General features: G+C 48.8%; 1 protein-coding gene across 4 annotated transcripts in view, besides 3 other annotated features; it reads right to left on the minus strand.

Annotated features, from left to right (window-relative positions):
* DNMT1 (DNA methyltransferase 1) overlaps positions 1–7,177 on the minus strand; it is a 61,608-nt gene extending 54,431 nt beyond the window's left edge. For all 4 annotated transcript variants that reach the window (NM_001318731.2, NM_001379.4, NM_001318730.2 and 1 more), the window contains exon 1: positions 7,044–7,177. Coding sequence is in view for 3 of the 4 variants with exons in the window: in NM_001379.4 (NP_001370.1) it covers positions 7,044–7,123 (80 nt within the window). In the remaining variant the exon portion in view is untranslated. The remainder of the gene's footprint in view (positions 1–7,043) is intronic.
* Positions 6,881–7,120: a silencer, noted in NCBI's record as "silent region_10057". NCBI's record gives its function as "represses an Ori minimal core promoter by ATAC-STARR-seq in GM12878 lymphoblastoid cells {active_cell/tissue: GM12878}" and the evidence as "EXISTENCE:reporter gene assay evidence [ECO:0000049][PMID:35858748]".
* Positions 7,381–7,610: an enhancer, noted in NCBI's record as "active region_13940". NCBI's record gives its function as "activates an Ori minimal core promoter by ATAC-STARR-seq in GM12878 lymphoblastoid cells {active_cell/tissue: GM12878}" and the evidence as "EXISTENCE:reporter gene assay evidence [ECO:0000049][PMID:35858748]".
* Positions 12,386–12,886: an enhancer, noted in NCBI's record as "H3K27ac hESC enhancer chr19:10310838-10311338 (GRCh37/hg19 assembly coordinates)". NCBI's record gives its function as "activates a minimal SCP1, AML or CMV promoter by ChIP-STARR-seq in primed H9 embryonic stem cells {active_cell/tissue: H9 hESC(primed)}" and the evidence as "EXISTENCE:reporter gene assay evidence [ECO:0000049][PMID:30033119]".

Below are 12,954 nucleotides of genomic sequence, written 5' to 3' on the forward strand. Positions count from 1 at the left end.
AGGATCACTAGAGCCCAGGAATTCAAGACCAGCCTGAGCAACACAGCGAGACCCTGTCTCTACAAAAAATAGTAATTAGTAATTAGCTGGGTGTGCTAGCATGTGCCTATAGGCCTAGCTACTCGGGAAGCCAAAGCGGGAGGATCAATAGAGCTCAGGAATTCAAGACCAGCCTGGGCAACACAGCAGAGACCCTGCCTAAACAAAAAATAGTAATTAGCTTGGTGTGGCAGCATGCACCTGTGGTCCTAGCTACTCAGGAGACTGAGGCAGGAGGATCACTAGAGCCCAGTGAGCTATAATTGTGCCGCTGCATTCCAGCCTGGGTGACACAGCAAGACCTTGTCTCTAAAAATAAAATATAGTGGACCATGCAAGACAAGTTACAAGTCTCTGTCAAACCAGCTTCTTCAGGCCGGCTGCATGGCAGCTGGAGCAGGGCTGCCCAAGAAGGCATCCGCAGTAGGCAAAAGAGTAGACCCACTGGGCACAGTGGCTCATGCCTGTAATCCCAGCACTTTGGGAGGCTGAAGCGGGTAGATCACCTGAGCTCAGGAGTTCAAGACCAGCCTGGGAAACATGGCAAAACCCCATCTCTACTAAAAATACAAAAATTAACCGGGCTTGGTGGCTCACGCCTGTAATCCCAGCTACTCAAGAGGCTGAGGCACAAGAATCATTTGAACCCAGGAAGCAGAAGTTGCAGTGAGCCGAGATCATGCCACTGCACTCCAGCCTGGGTGACAGAGCGAGACTCCATCTCAAAAAGAGTGGACCCACCGAAAAATGTTCATGCCCTAATCCCTGGAACCTGTGAATATATTACTTTACGTGGCCAAAGCGATTTTGCAGATGTAACTAAGAATACAGACCTTGAGATGGGGAGATTATCCTGGATTATCTGGGGTGGGCCCAATCTAATCACTTCAGCCCTTAAGAACACAGAACCTTTCTAGCTGCAGAGAGCGGGCAACGTTGGAGGACGGGTCAGAGAGAGATGCAACCCGCAAATGCTGACTTTAAAGGTAGAGGAAGGGGGCATGAGCCGAGGGATGAGACCGCCTCCAGAAGCGGGCAACGACCCTCAGTTTAGAACCAGTGAAGAAAATGGGACCTGAGTCTTACAACTACCACCTTCTGCCAACACCCCAAAATAGGAAACAGATTCTCCCCTGGAGCCCCCAGAAAGGAATGCAGCCTGCTTACACCTTGATTTTCATCCGGTGAAACCCACATCAGATTTCTGACCTGCATAAGGTAATAAATGTATGTCCTTTAAGCCGGCAAGTTTGAGGCAAGACCCTCCACCTGCAAAAAGATTATGAATCGCTGAAGACTCAGATGATTTTTTTTTTTTTTTTGAGACGGAGTCTCGCTCTGTTGCCCAGGCTGGAGTTCAGTGGCATGATCTCGGCTCACTGCAACCTCCGCCTCCCAAGTTCAAGCAATTTTCCTGCCTCAGCCTCCCATGGAGCTGGGACTATAGGCGTGTGCCACCATGCCTGGCTAATTTTTTTTGTATTTTTAGTAGAGACGGGGTTTCACCGTGTTAGCCAGGATGGTCTCGATCTCCTGACCTCGTGATCTGCCCACCTTGGCCTCCCAAAGTGCTGGGATTACAGGCGTGAGCCACCACGCCCAGCTGATTTTTTTTTTTTTTTGAGACAGAGTCTCACTCCTTCACCCAGGCTGGAGTGCAGTGGCACAATCATGGCAAACTGCAGCCTCGACCTCATGGGTTCAAGTGATCCTCCCACCTCTGCCTCCCGAGTAGCTGGGACCCCAGGTGCATGCCACCACTTTTGGCTTTATTTTTTTTTTTGAGATGGGGGGGGTCTTCCTATGTTGCCCAGACTAGTCTTGAACTCCTTGGCTCAAGCGATCCTCCTGCCTTGGCCTCCCAAACTGCTGGGATTACAGGCATGAGCCACTGCACACGGCCTAGTCTAATAACTTTTACACATACTAGGAAACCAAAATGTGTGTGTGACTCACTTTCTTGCTAGATTCACTTTACTGCAGTGGTCTGGAACCAAACCCACAGCATCCCCACTGTACACACAGTACCACGTAATAACCAGTGATGAAGGGCTTTGGACAGGTGCTGCTCTCAACATATCTGTACTGATAAGCTCAGTCTTCCTAACACCCCTGTCGAGCAGGCAGCCCCACCCCCTTTTTATAGATGAAACACCAAGGCACCAAGAAGTTCAATAACTTAGCCATACGGCTGGCAAGTAGGGCGGCATTTGAAACCCAGCAGTCTGTACCCCTAGAATTCTACCACAGGGGAGCAAAACAAAAGAGGTAAGTCAATTTTGCCTTATTCAGTATGTACTCAGTAGTAGCCAAGGAACTGGAGTTAAGGAGTTCAAGACCTAGCTTAATCCCATCACAGAATGACTAGCAGTAAGAAAGCTGTGGTAGTTACGAAAGCTAATCAGTTGTGCAAAGGAGTCTGCTAGCATCAGTGTTAATCCAGGCTGTACAGGGGAAGAGCTGGCATGCAAGCATTTGAGTCTACTGTGCTCCAAGCTGCAGATACAGTGAATACGGCAGACACGCTCTGGTAACAGACCCTGAAATAATCACTAATTTCAGTGTTATAATGGCACCATGCGGGATACACCGACAAAATTCAACACTCTTTATTGTGGAGAAGCAAGCCTAGCTGTCTGAGAGCAGGCTTAAGAATGAATTAAAAGGCCAGGCACGGTGGCTCATGCCTGTAATCCCAACACTTTGCGGGGCTGAGGCAGGCGAATCACTTGAGTCCAGGAGTTCAACACCAGCCTGGCCAACACGGTAAACCCCGGTTTCTACTAAAAATAAGAAAAAGTTAGCCGGGCGTGGTGGCACATGCCTGTAATCCCAGCTACTCAGGAGGCTAAGGCAGGAGAATCACTTGAACCCGGGAGGGGGAGGTTGCAGTGAGCCAAGTTCGCACCACTGCACTCCAGCCTGGGCGACAGCACAAGACTCTGTCTCAAAAATAAAATAAAATAAAATAAAATAAAATAAAATAAAATAAAATAAAATAAAATAAAAACAATGAACCGGCTGGACACCATCATACCTGTAATCCCAGCATTTTGGGAGGCTAAGATAAGTGGATCACTTGAGATCAAGAGTTTGAAACCAGCCTGGTCAACATGGCAAAACCCAGTCTCTAATAAAAATACAAAAATTACCTGGGCTTGGTGGCGGGCGCCTGTAATCCCAGCTACTTGGGACACTGAAGTAGGAGAATTGCTTGAACTCGGGAGGTGGAGGTTGCAGTGAGCCGAGATCACGGCCACTGCACTCCAGCCTGGGCGACAGAGCAAGGCTCAGCCTCGAGGGGGAAAAAGAAAAATTAGCTGGGCGTGGTGGTGCACACCTGTAATCCCAGCTACTTGGGAAGCTGAGACAGGAGAATTGCTTAAACCCGGGAAGCGGAGGCTGCAGTGAGCTGAGATCACACCATTGCACTCTAGCCTGGGCCACAGAGCAAGACCCTGCCTCAATTAAAAAAAAAAAAAAATCTAAGTTTCAAGTACTGTTGGATACCATGTTTATTTTTCATTTAATGAAATATTTTCAAAATGTAAAAAAAAAAAAAAAAGTCTGTGGAGTGAGTCATATAAACTACAATTTCAATGTCTACCACATGGTCAAAAGCAGTCCTCCAAAACTCCAATGCCTACAGTGAAGCAATCTGAGTGTAAAGAAATGTGGAACCCAGGGTCAGTGGTGGATTGTAAGGCTCACCTAATGGTATTCCAATTCAGCCAAACAAAATATTTGCACAGGGCCAACAGAGCCCCTGAGCCAGTGGCCTACTGGCAACCCCTGTTGAAGGGAAAGGCTTTGGCAAGCAGCAGACCTTAGCAGGAATTCCTGCTTCCTGGCAGTTAACTCCTGCAGCATCCACTTTTAAGAACTCTTGAGGAATAATGGCCGGGCCCTGTGGCTCACGCCTGTAATCTCAGCCCTTTGGGAGGCCAACGCAGAGGATTGCTTCAGTCCAGGAGTTCAAGACCAGCCTGGGCAACAAAGCAAGACCCTCATCTCTAAAAAAAAAAATTTTTTTTTTTTCTGAGACAGAGTTTCGCTCCTGTTGCCCAGGCTGGAGTGCAACGGTGCAATCTCGGCTCCTGGGTTCAAGCGATTATCCTGCCTCAGCCTCCCGAGTAGCTGCGATTACAGGCACCTGCCACCATACCTGGCTAATTTTTTTGTATTTTTAGTAGAGATGGGGTTTCGCCACGTTGGCCAGGCTGGTCTCAAACTCCTGACCTCAGGTGATCTGCCCATCTCAGCCTCCCAAAGTGCTGGGATTACAGACGTGAGCCACCGCGCCCAGCCTTCTAAAAAATTTTTTAAGGATTAACTTGGGCATGGTGGCATGTGCCAGCCACTCAGGAGGCTAAGGCAGGAGGATTGCTTGAGCTCAGGGGTTCAAGGCTGCAGTAAGCCATGACTGTGCCACTGCATTCCAGCCTGGGTGACACAGTGAGATCCTGTCTCTTAAAAAAAAACTGAAAAAAACAAGCTAAGTTAGCCACTAGCATGTGAACCTTTATGTGCCATGCATATTCTCATTTAACCCAATACCAGCTGAAAACCCATGTCATTATTCCTAGACTATGGATATAGAGGTGGCATACGCTTGTTTAAGGTCATTGAGCCAGTGGAGGTCATGTTTTCAAGAAGGCTGGGCAGGCTGGGCATGGTGGCTCACACCCGTAATCCCAACACTTTGGGAAGCTGAGGCAGGAGGATCGCTTGAGGCCAGGAATCGAAGACCAGCCTGAGCAACATGGCAAGACCCCATCTCTACAAAATAAAAAAAAGGAATAAAAAAGGAAGGCCGGGCCCAAACTTCTCTGAATTGGGTGTAACATCATGAAGCCAGGCACTTTCATAATTTCACTTCCATTCCATTTTAAATCAAGTTTTATTTTGGGAGAATACTGGCACAGATGATTCAAGAAGATATATACCCACTAACTGGTTAAGAAGTGGTTTGACTATAATCCCAGCACTTTGGGAGGCTGAGGCAGGTGGATCACGAGGTCAGGAGTTCGAGACCAGCCTGACCAACATGGAGAAACCCCGACTCCACTGAAAACACAAAAATTAGCCAGGCGTGGTGGTGTGCACCTGTAATCCCAGCTACTTCGGAGGCTGAGGCAGGAGAATCACTTGAACCCTGAAAGTGGAGGTTGCAGTGAGCCGAGATCACGCCACCGCATTCCAGCCTGGGTGAAAGAATGAGACTCCATCTCAAACAAACAAACAAAAAAAAGTAGTAGTTAAGGCATGATGGCTCATACTTGTAATCCTAACCTTTGGGACACAAAGGCAGGAGGACTGCTTGAGGGCAGGGGTTTAAGACCAGCCTGGGCAATATGGTGAAACCTCACGTATACAGAAACAAAAACTAAGAAAGTCATCTGGGCATGGTGGTGGGCGCCTGTGGTCCCAGCTACTCAGGAGGCTGAGGATCCCTTAAGCCCAGGAGTTCAAGGCTACAGTGAGTTATAATTGTGCCAGGGCACTCCAGCCTGGACAACAGAGTGAGACCCATCTCTAAAAATAAAAAGTGTTTCTTTTTTTGAGACAGGGTCTCACTCTGTCACCCAGGCTGGAGTGCAATAGCGCGATCTCAGCTCGCTACACACAGCCTCAACCTCTGGGGCTCAAGTGATACTCCCACCTTAGTCTGTTGAGTAGTTGGGACCACAGGCGCACGGCACTACTCCAGGCTAATTTTTGTATTTTTAGTAGACATGGGGTTTTGCCTTGTTGCCCAGGCTGGTCTCAAACTCCTGGCTCAAGAGATTCGTCCGCCACTGCCTCCCAAATTGCTGGGATTACAGGCATAAGCCACAGCACCCAGCCTTCAAAAAAAAAAAAAAAAAGAAAAGAAAAAAAGCGGGGGTTGAACCAAATATCCATCCCTCCCCAAAGACCCAAATCAGAACCGGACTGGCCCAACCAGGTCAGTTAACAAGCCTAAGGAAATAGAAAAATGGCAAAGAGTGCTTTCACAAATCCAGCTGGAAGTGTCCACGCCTGGTGAGGGTTCCTCTGACTCACGCACACCTCACTTGAACAAGTTTTCAGGAATGAACTGATGGCGTTCATGAACAAGGGGCTGGGACCAGTGCTCCCACTGATCCTTGTGCACGGAAGTTGGACAGAGGCATGAACTGCTAAAGCCAGGGCCTCCAACATTAGACACACACTAAAGAACACACCCATGAACACACACAAACACACACGAAAGTGTAGCCAGTTCTCATTAGCAAGACTTCCCTGATGCCCACGGCTCACAGGCACAGATTTACAGGAAAAGACCAACCATGCAGCCTTCACGCTTCCCGGGCCCTGCGCTGCAATGCACGGTTAAAGTTCCTGCCAAAACATGGACTTTCCCAAGGAGCAAGAACCACACAGTCCCAACTGACAGAATGAGTACCCCACGGAAGGCTGGGCTCTCGAACATGAGCCAGCCCAGCCCAGGCCCCGACGGGTGACATCCGTCTCTGGAGGCCGCCATCGAGATGCACAGCTTTGGGGGAAAGGCACTGAGGGACCCCCCACCACAGAAGCGCCCCCGGGGACCGGGCCGGACACCGGAAGTGGAGGCCGAAGTGCCGGTGCCCGAGGGGTGTCCGTTGGCCGCGGGCTGCCCACTTCCTGTGCGACCAAGCTGGAGTCAAGAGCCCGGCCCACCGCTGCTTGAAGAAGGGGACCCCGGAAACGAACCCAAAGCTTGCTGTATTTGGGGATCAAAAGAGAACCCCCACCCCGCCTAGTTTCTAGCCACCAGGGAGCTACGGGGGAATCCACGGTCCATTTTGGCGCCAAACAGCCCGGGCACGCGCGACCGGAAGTGCCACCCTGCCCGCGCCAACTGCCGCTGCGCGCCGCACCACCCCACGCATGCGCGCCCGTCTGTCAGCAGCGGCCACCGGCCACCCCGAGGGGAAGCGACCCCCCACCCAGCGCCCTGCCTGTCCCCCTGAGTCCGTGTTCCCCCCCATGGTACCTACCGCCTGCGGACATCGTCGGGCAGCGAGATGGCCGGGACGGCCAGTGTGGGCACCCGGGCTGGGGCGGTACGCGCCGGCATCTCGGAGGCTTCAGCAGACGCGGCGGCGGCAGCGCAGGCGCCCCGGCTTTTCGCGCGGAAACCGATGGGGAGGGGCGATGAGCGGAGGCGGCGTCTACCACCCCAGTCCGGGCGTGGGGGAGGAGGGGATGTACCAAACGGAGAGAGGCGATACCCTGTGCAGAAGGATGGAACGGAGCCGGCCATGCCCAGGGAACACGCATGCGCAAGGCGGGCACACACCCCCCCCACGCGGAGCAGTGGGCTCGTCCAAGCTCCACGGTTTGCTGGGAGGTGGGCACGGTGCCCGAGGCATTCATTCATTCATTCTTTCAGGTGTGATGGGGATAAAGCAGCGAGAAGCCCCCAAGGGTTTGTGAGAGCCCTTGAGTAAAGTCCTCAGTTCCAATCCAACCTCCATCTATTTGCTGGCTATACGACCTTAGGTGGGTCACTACGGCTCAGCCTCTGTGTCCTCATCTGTAAAACGGGGTAATTGCACCTACTCTAGAAAATCTTGAGTATACACAGAATTTGTAGCTAGTACCAAGAATCTCACAGTGTATAGAGGCCCATGCCACTTCTATACCCAGTGTGTGGGGGGTTTTTTGTTGCCTTTTTTAAGCACCACGTGGCTCACGCCTGTCATCCCAGCACTTTGGGAGGCCAGGGTGGGAGGATCGCTTGAGCCCAGGAGTTTTAGACCAGCCTAGGTAACATAGAGAAACTGCATCTCAAAAAAAAAAAAAAAGAAAGAAAGAAAGAAAGAAAAAAAGAAAAACAAAAATTAGCTAGTCGTTGTGGCATGTGCCCATAGTCCAAACTACTCCAGAGGTTGAGGCAGGAAGATCACTTGAACCGGAGAGGCAGAGGTTGCAGTGAGCCATGATTGTACCACTACATTCCAGCCTGGGAGACAGAGCAAGACCTTGTCTCAAAAAAATAAAAATAAAAAGTAAGAATAAATTAAGAAGCACCATGTCAGGCGCAGTGGCTCACGCCTGTAATCCCAGTGCTTTGAGAGGCCCAGGTGGGAGGATCGCTTGAGGTTAGGAGTTCAAGACCAGCCTGAGCAACATAGGGATACCCCATCTCTACAAAAAATACAAAGATTTGCTGGGCATGGTGACACACACCTGTAATCCTAGCTACTTGGGAGGCTGAGGTGGGAGGATGGCTTGAACCCTGGCAGTGTAGGCTGCAATGAGCCATGATTGGGCCACTGGACTCCTGCCTGGGCGACAGGGTAAGACCCTGCCTCACTCTGTCACCCCGGCTGGCGTGCAGTGGTGAGATCTTGGCTCACTGCAACCTCTGCCTCCCAGGTTCAAGCGATTCTCATGCCTCAGCCTCCCTAGTAGGCTGGGATTACAGGCGTACTCCACCACGCCTGGCTAATTTTTGTATCTTCGGTGGTAGAGACAGGGTTTCACCATGTTGGCCAGGCTAGTCTGGGACTCCTAGCCTCAAGCAGTCCACTTGCCTCAGCCTCCCAAAGTGCTGGGATTATAGGCCTAAGCCACCGTAACCAGCCAGAATTTTTTTTTTTTTTAAAGCACCAGAACATGGGGGAAAGATTGTGTCTTTAACAAATGGTGCTGAGAAAACTGTATAACCACATACAAAAGAATGAAGTTGGACCCTTACCTTACACCATATACAAAAACACAAAACTTATTAAAGATTAAACATAAGACCTGAAACTATAGTGCTCCTAGAAGAAAACATGGGGAAAAGCTTCATGACAATGGATTTGGCAATGATTTCTTGGATATGACAGCAAAACACAGGCAACAAGACAAAAGATAGACAAATGGGTTTGCAACAAACTTAAGGATAGCTATACAGCAAAAGAAATGACCAACAGTGAAAAGGCAACCTACAGAATGGGGAAAAAAAAAGTTTGCAAACTGTATTATCTGGTAAAGGGTTAATATCCGGAATATATGAAAAATTACAGCCAGGCATGGTGGTTCATGCTTGTGATCCCTGCACTTTGGGAGGCCCGGGTAGGCAGATCACTTGAGCCCGGTAGTTTTAGACCAGCCTGAGCAACATGGCAAAACCTCGTCTCTACCAAAAAAAGAAGAAAAAAATTATATAAAAAATAAATTACTACCCGTCAGGCTTGGTGGCTCACGCCTGTAATCCCAGCACTTTGAGAGGCCAAGGCGGGTGGATCACCTGAGGTCAAGAGTTTGAGACCAGCCTGGCCAACATGGTGAAACCCTGTCTCTCCTCAAAATATAAAAATTTGCTGGGCATGGTGGTGTGCCTGTAATCCCAGCTACTCGGAAGGCTGAGGCAGGAGAATCACTTGAACCTGGGATGCGGAGGTTGCAGTGAGCCGAGATTGCACCATTGCGCTCCAGCCTGCGCAACAAGAGAGAAACTCTGTCTCAAATAAAAATTTAAAAAATAATAAATTTCTACAATGCAACAACAAAAACTCGATTTACAAATGAGCAAATGGGCTGGGTGCGGTGGCTCACACCTGTGATCCCAGCACTTTGGGAGGCCCAGGCGGCAGGCGGATCACGCGGTCAGGAGATCGAGACCATCCTGGCTAACGTGGTGAAACCCCATCTCTACTAAAAATACAAAAAATTAGCCAGGCGTGGTGGCAGTCGCCTGTAGTCTCAGCTAATCAGGAGGCTGAGGCAGGAGAATGGTGTGAACCCAGGAGGTGGAGCTTGCAGCAAGCCGAGATTGCACCACTGCACTCCATCCAGCCTGGGCAACAGAGCGAGACTCCGTCTCAAAAACAAACAAAAAGAGCAAATGATTTGAATACATACTTTCCCAAAGGAGATATGCAAATAGAAAACAGGCATATGAAAAGATGCTCAACATCACTGGTCATCAGGGAAATGCAAATCAAAACCACAATGAAATATCCCTAAGACCCCTTAGAATGGCCACTGTCAAATAATAAGTGTTGGTGAAGATGTGGAGAAACTGGAACCCTTGTGCACGGTTGAGAGTCGAATAAAATGGTGGAGCTGCTATGAGAAACAGCATGGAAGTTCCTCAAAAAAATTAAAAATAGAATTATCATATGATCCAGCAATCCCATTTCTGGATATAAATTCAAAAGAATTGAAAAGAGGATCTTAAAGAGATATTTGCATACCCGTCTTCATTGCAGCATTAGTCACAACAGCCAAGAGACAGGAAAAAAAAAAAAAAAGATCATATTGCTGCTAAGAGATGGGGTCTTGCTGTGTTGCCCAGGCAGGTGTCAAACTCCTGGGCTCAAGGCATACTCCTACCTCAGCTTCTTAAGTAGCTGGGACTACAGGTATGTGCCACCACAATGGGCTAACTTTTTATATTTTTTGTAGAGACAGGATTTCTCCATGTTGCCCAGGCTGGTCTCAAACTCCTGAGCTCAAGCGATCTGCTGGCCTTGGCCTCCCAAAGCGCTGGGATTACAGGTGTAAGCCACTGCACCCAGCCTAATTCAGTCTTTAAAAAAGAAAAAATGGCCAGGTGCAGTGGCTCACACCTGTAATCCCAACACTTTGGGAAGCCAAGGCGGGTGGATCACCTGAGGTCAGGAGTTCGAGACCAGCCTGGCCAACATGGAGAAACCCCATCTCTACTAAAAATACAAAATTAGCTGGACATAGTGGCTCATGCCTATAACCCCAGCTACTCCGGAGGCTGAGGCAGGAGAATTGCTTGAACCCTGGAGGTGGAGGTTGAGGTAAGCTGAGATTACACCATTGTACTCCAGCCTGGGCAACAAGAGGGAAACTCCATCTCAAAATAAATAAATAAATAAATAAATAAATAATATAAAAGTAAAAATACAAAATTAGCTGGGTATGGTGGCATGCACCTGTAATCCCAGCTACTTAGGAGGTTAAGGCAAGAGTACTGCTTGAACCCGAGAGGTGGAGGTTGCAGTGAGCTGAGATCACACCATTGCACTCCAGCCTGGGTGACAAGAGTGAAACTCCGTCTCCAAAAAACAAAAGAAAAGAAAAAATATCTTATTATATGCTACAACATGGATGAACCTTGAGGACATTACGCACAGTGAGAGAACCTAATCACACAAAGACAAATACCATACAATTCCACTTATGAAGTATCTAAAGTAATCAAAATCTTAGAAACAGAAAGTAGAATAGTGGTTACCAAGGCCGGGGGGGAAGGAGGAAAAGGAGTTATTGTTCAAGAGTTTCAGTTTTACAAAATGATTCCAGAGATCTGTTGCACAACAATGTGTATATACTGAACTGTACACTGAAAAATTGATAAGATGGTAAATAAAATACTATTAGTAAATGGGGCTAAGTTTTTTTCTTTTTTTTTTTCTTTTTTTTTTTTTTTTGACAGAGTCTCACTCTGTTGCCCAAGCTGGAGTGCAGTGGCACGATCTCGGTTCACTGTAACCTCTGCCTCCTGGGTTCCAGCAATTCTCCTCCCTCAGCCTCCCGAGTAGCTGGGATTACAGGCACGCGCCACTACGCCCAGCTAATTTTTGTATTTTTAGCAGAGACAGTGTTTTGCCATGTTGGCCAGGCTTGTCTTGAACTCCTGACCTCAAGTGATCCGCCCACCTCGGCCTCCCAAAGGGCTGGGATTACAGGCATGAGCCACGGCACCTAGCCCTAAAAAGTACTTTACCTTCAACCACAAGAAGCACCAGAAAGGAGTTTAAAATTAGGGCATACTTTTACATTTTTGTATTGCAAAATATTTGTATTATAAAATTCACAAGTGAATGTGTTTATATGCATGTACATATACATGCACACACAGTTCCCCCAACAGCTGGTAGGGAAGGGTCATCCTGGCCAGAAGTGAACCTTCACACAGACCCTCCATTTGCTATGAATTGCTCACACTTGGCAGGACCCAGGAAGACTGAATAATAAGACTAAAATTCCCAGCGATTAATATTGAATCAGCACTTACGTAGTCTACCAGGCTCTTTAGATAACTTTTTCTTTTTCAATTTTTTTTTTTTAATAGAGACAGGGTCTTACTATGTTGCCCAGGCTGGTCTTGAACTCTTGAGCTCAAGCAATTACAGGCATGAGCCACTGTGCCTGGGGCTTTTTGTTTTTGTTGTTTGTTTTTTGTTTTTGAGACTGAGTCTCGCTCTGTAGCCCAGGTTGGAGTGCAGTGGTGCGATCTCGGCTGACTGCAAGCTCCGCCTCCCGGGTTCACGCAATTCTCCTGCCTCAGTCTCCTGAGTAGCTGGGATTACAGGTGCCCGCCACCAAGCCCAGCTAATTTTTTGTTTATTTTTAGTAGAGACGAGGTTTCACTATGTTGGCCAGACTGGCGTCTAACTCCTGACCTCGTGATCTGCCTGCCTCGGCCTCCCAAATTGCTGGGATTACAGGCGTGAGCCACCGCGCCTGGCTGTTTTGTTTTGTTTTGTTTTTTGAGACAGGGTTTCACTCCCGTCTCTCAGGCTGGAATGGAATGGTGTGCAATCTCGGCTCACTGCAACCTCCACCTTCCAGGCTCAAGCAATTATCTTGCCTCGGCCTCCCGAGTGGCTAGGAATACAGGCATGCGCCAGCACGCCTGGTTAATTTTTGTAGAGACAAGGTTTTGCCGTGTTGCCCAGGCTGGTCTCAAACTCCTGAACTCAAGTGATCCTCCTGCCTCAGCCTCCCAAAGTGCTATAATTACAGGCTTGAGCTACTGTGCCCAGCCTTCTTCTATTTTGAGACAGGGTCTCACTCTGTCACCCAGGCTGGAATGCAGTGGCACGATCACCATTCACTGTAACCTCAGCCTCCCAAGCTCAAGCAATCCTCCCATCTCAGCCTCCCAAGTAGCTGGGACCCACAGGCACACACCACCAGGCTTGACTAATTTTTTAT

This window comes from Homo sapiens, chromosome 19 (genome assembly GCF_000001405.40).
Source record: "Homo sapiens chromosome 19, GRCh38.p14 Primary Assembly".
Classification (NCBI taxonomy): Eukaryota; Metazoa; Chordata; class Mammalia; order Primates; family Hominidae; genus Homo; species Homo sapiens.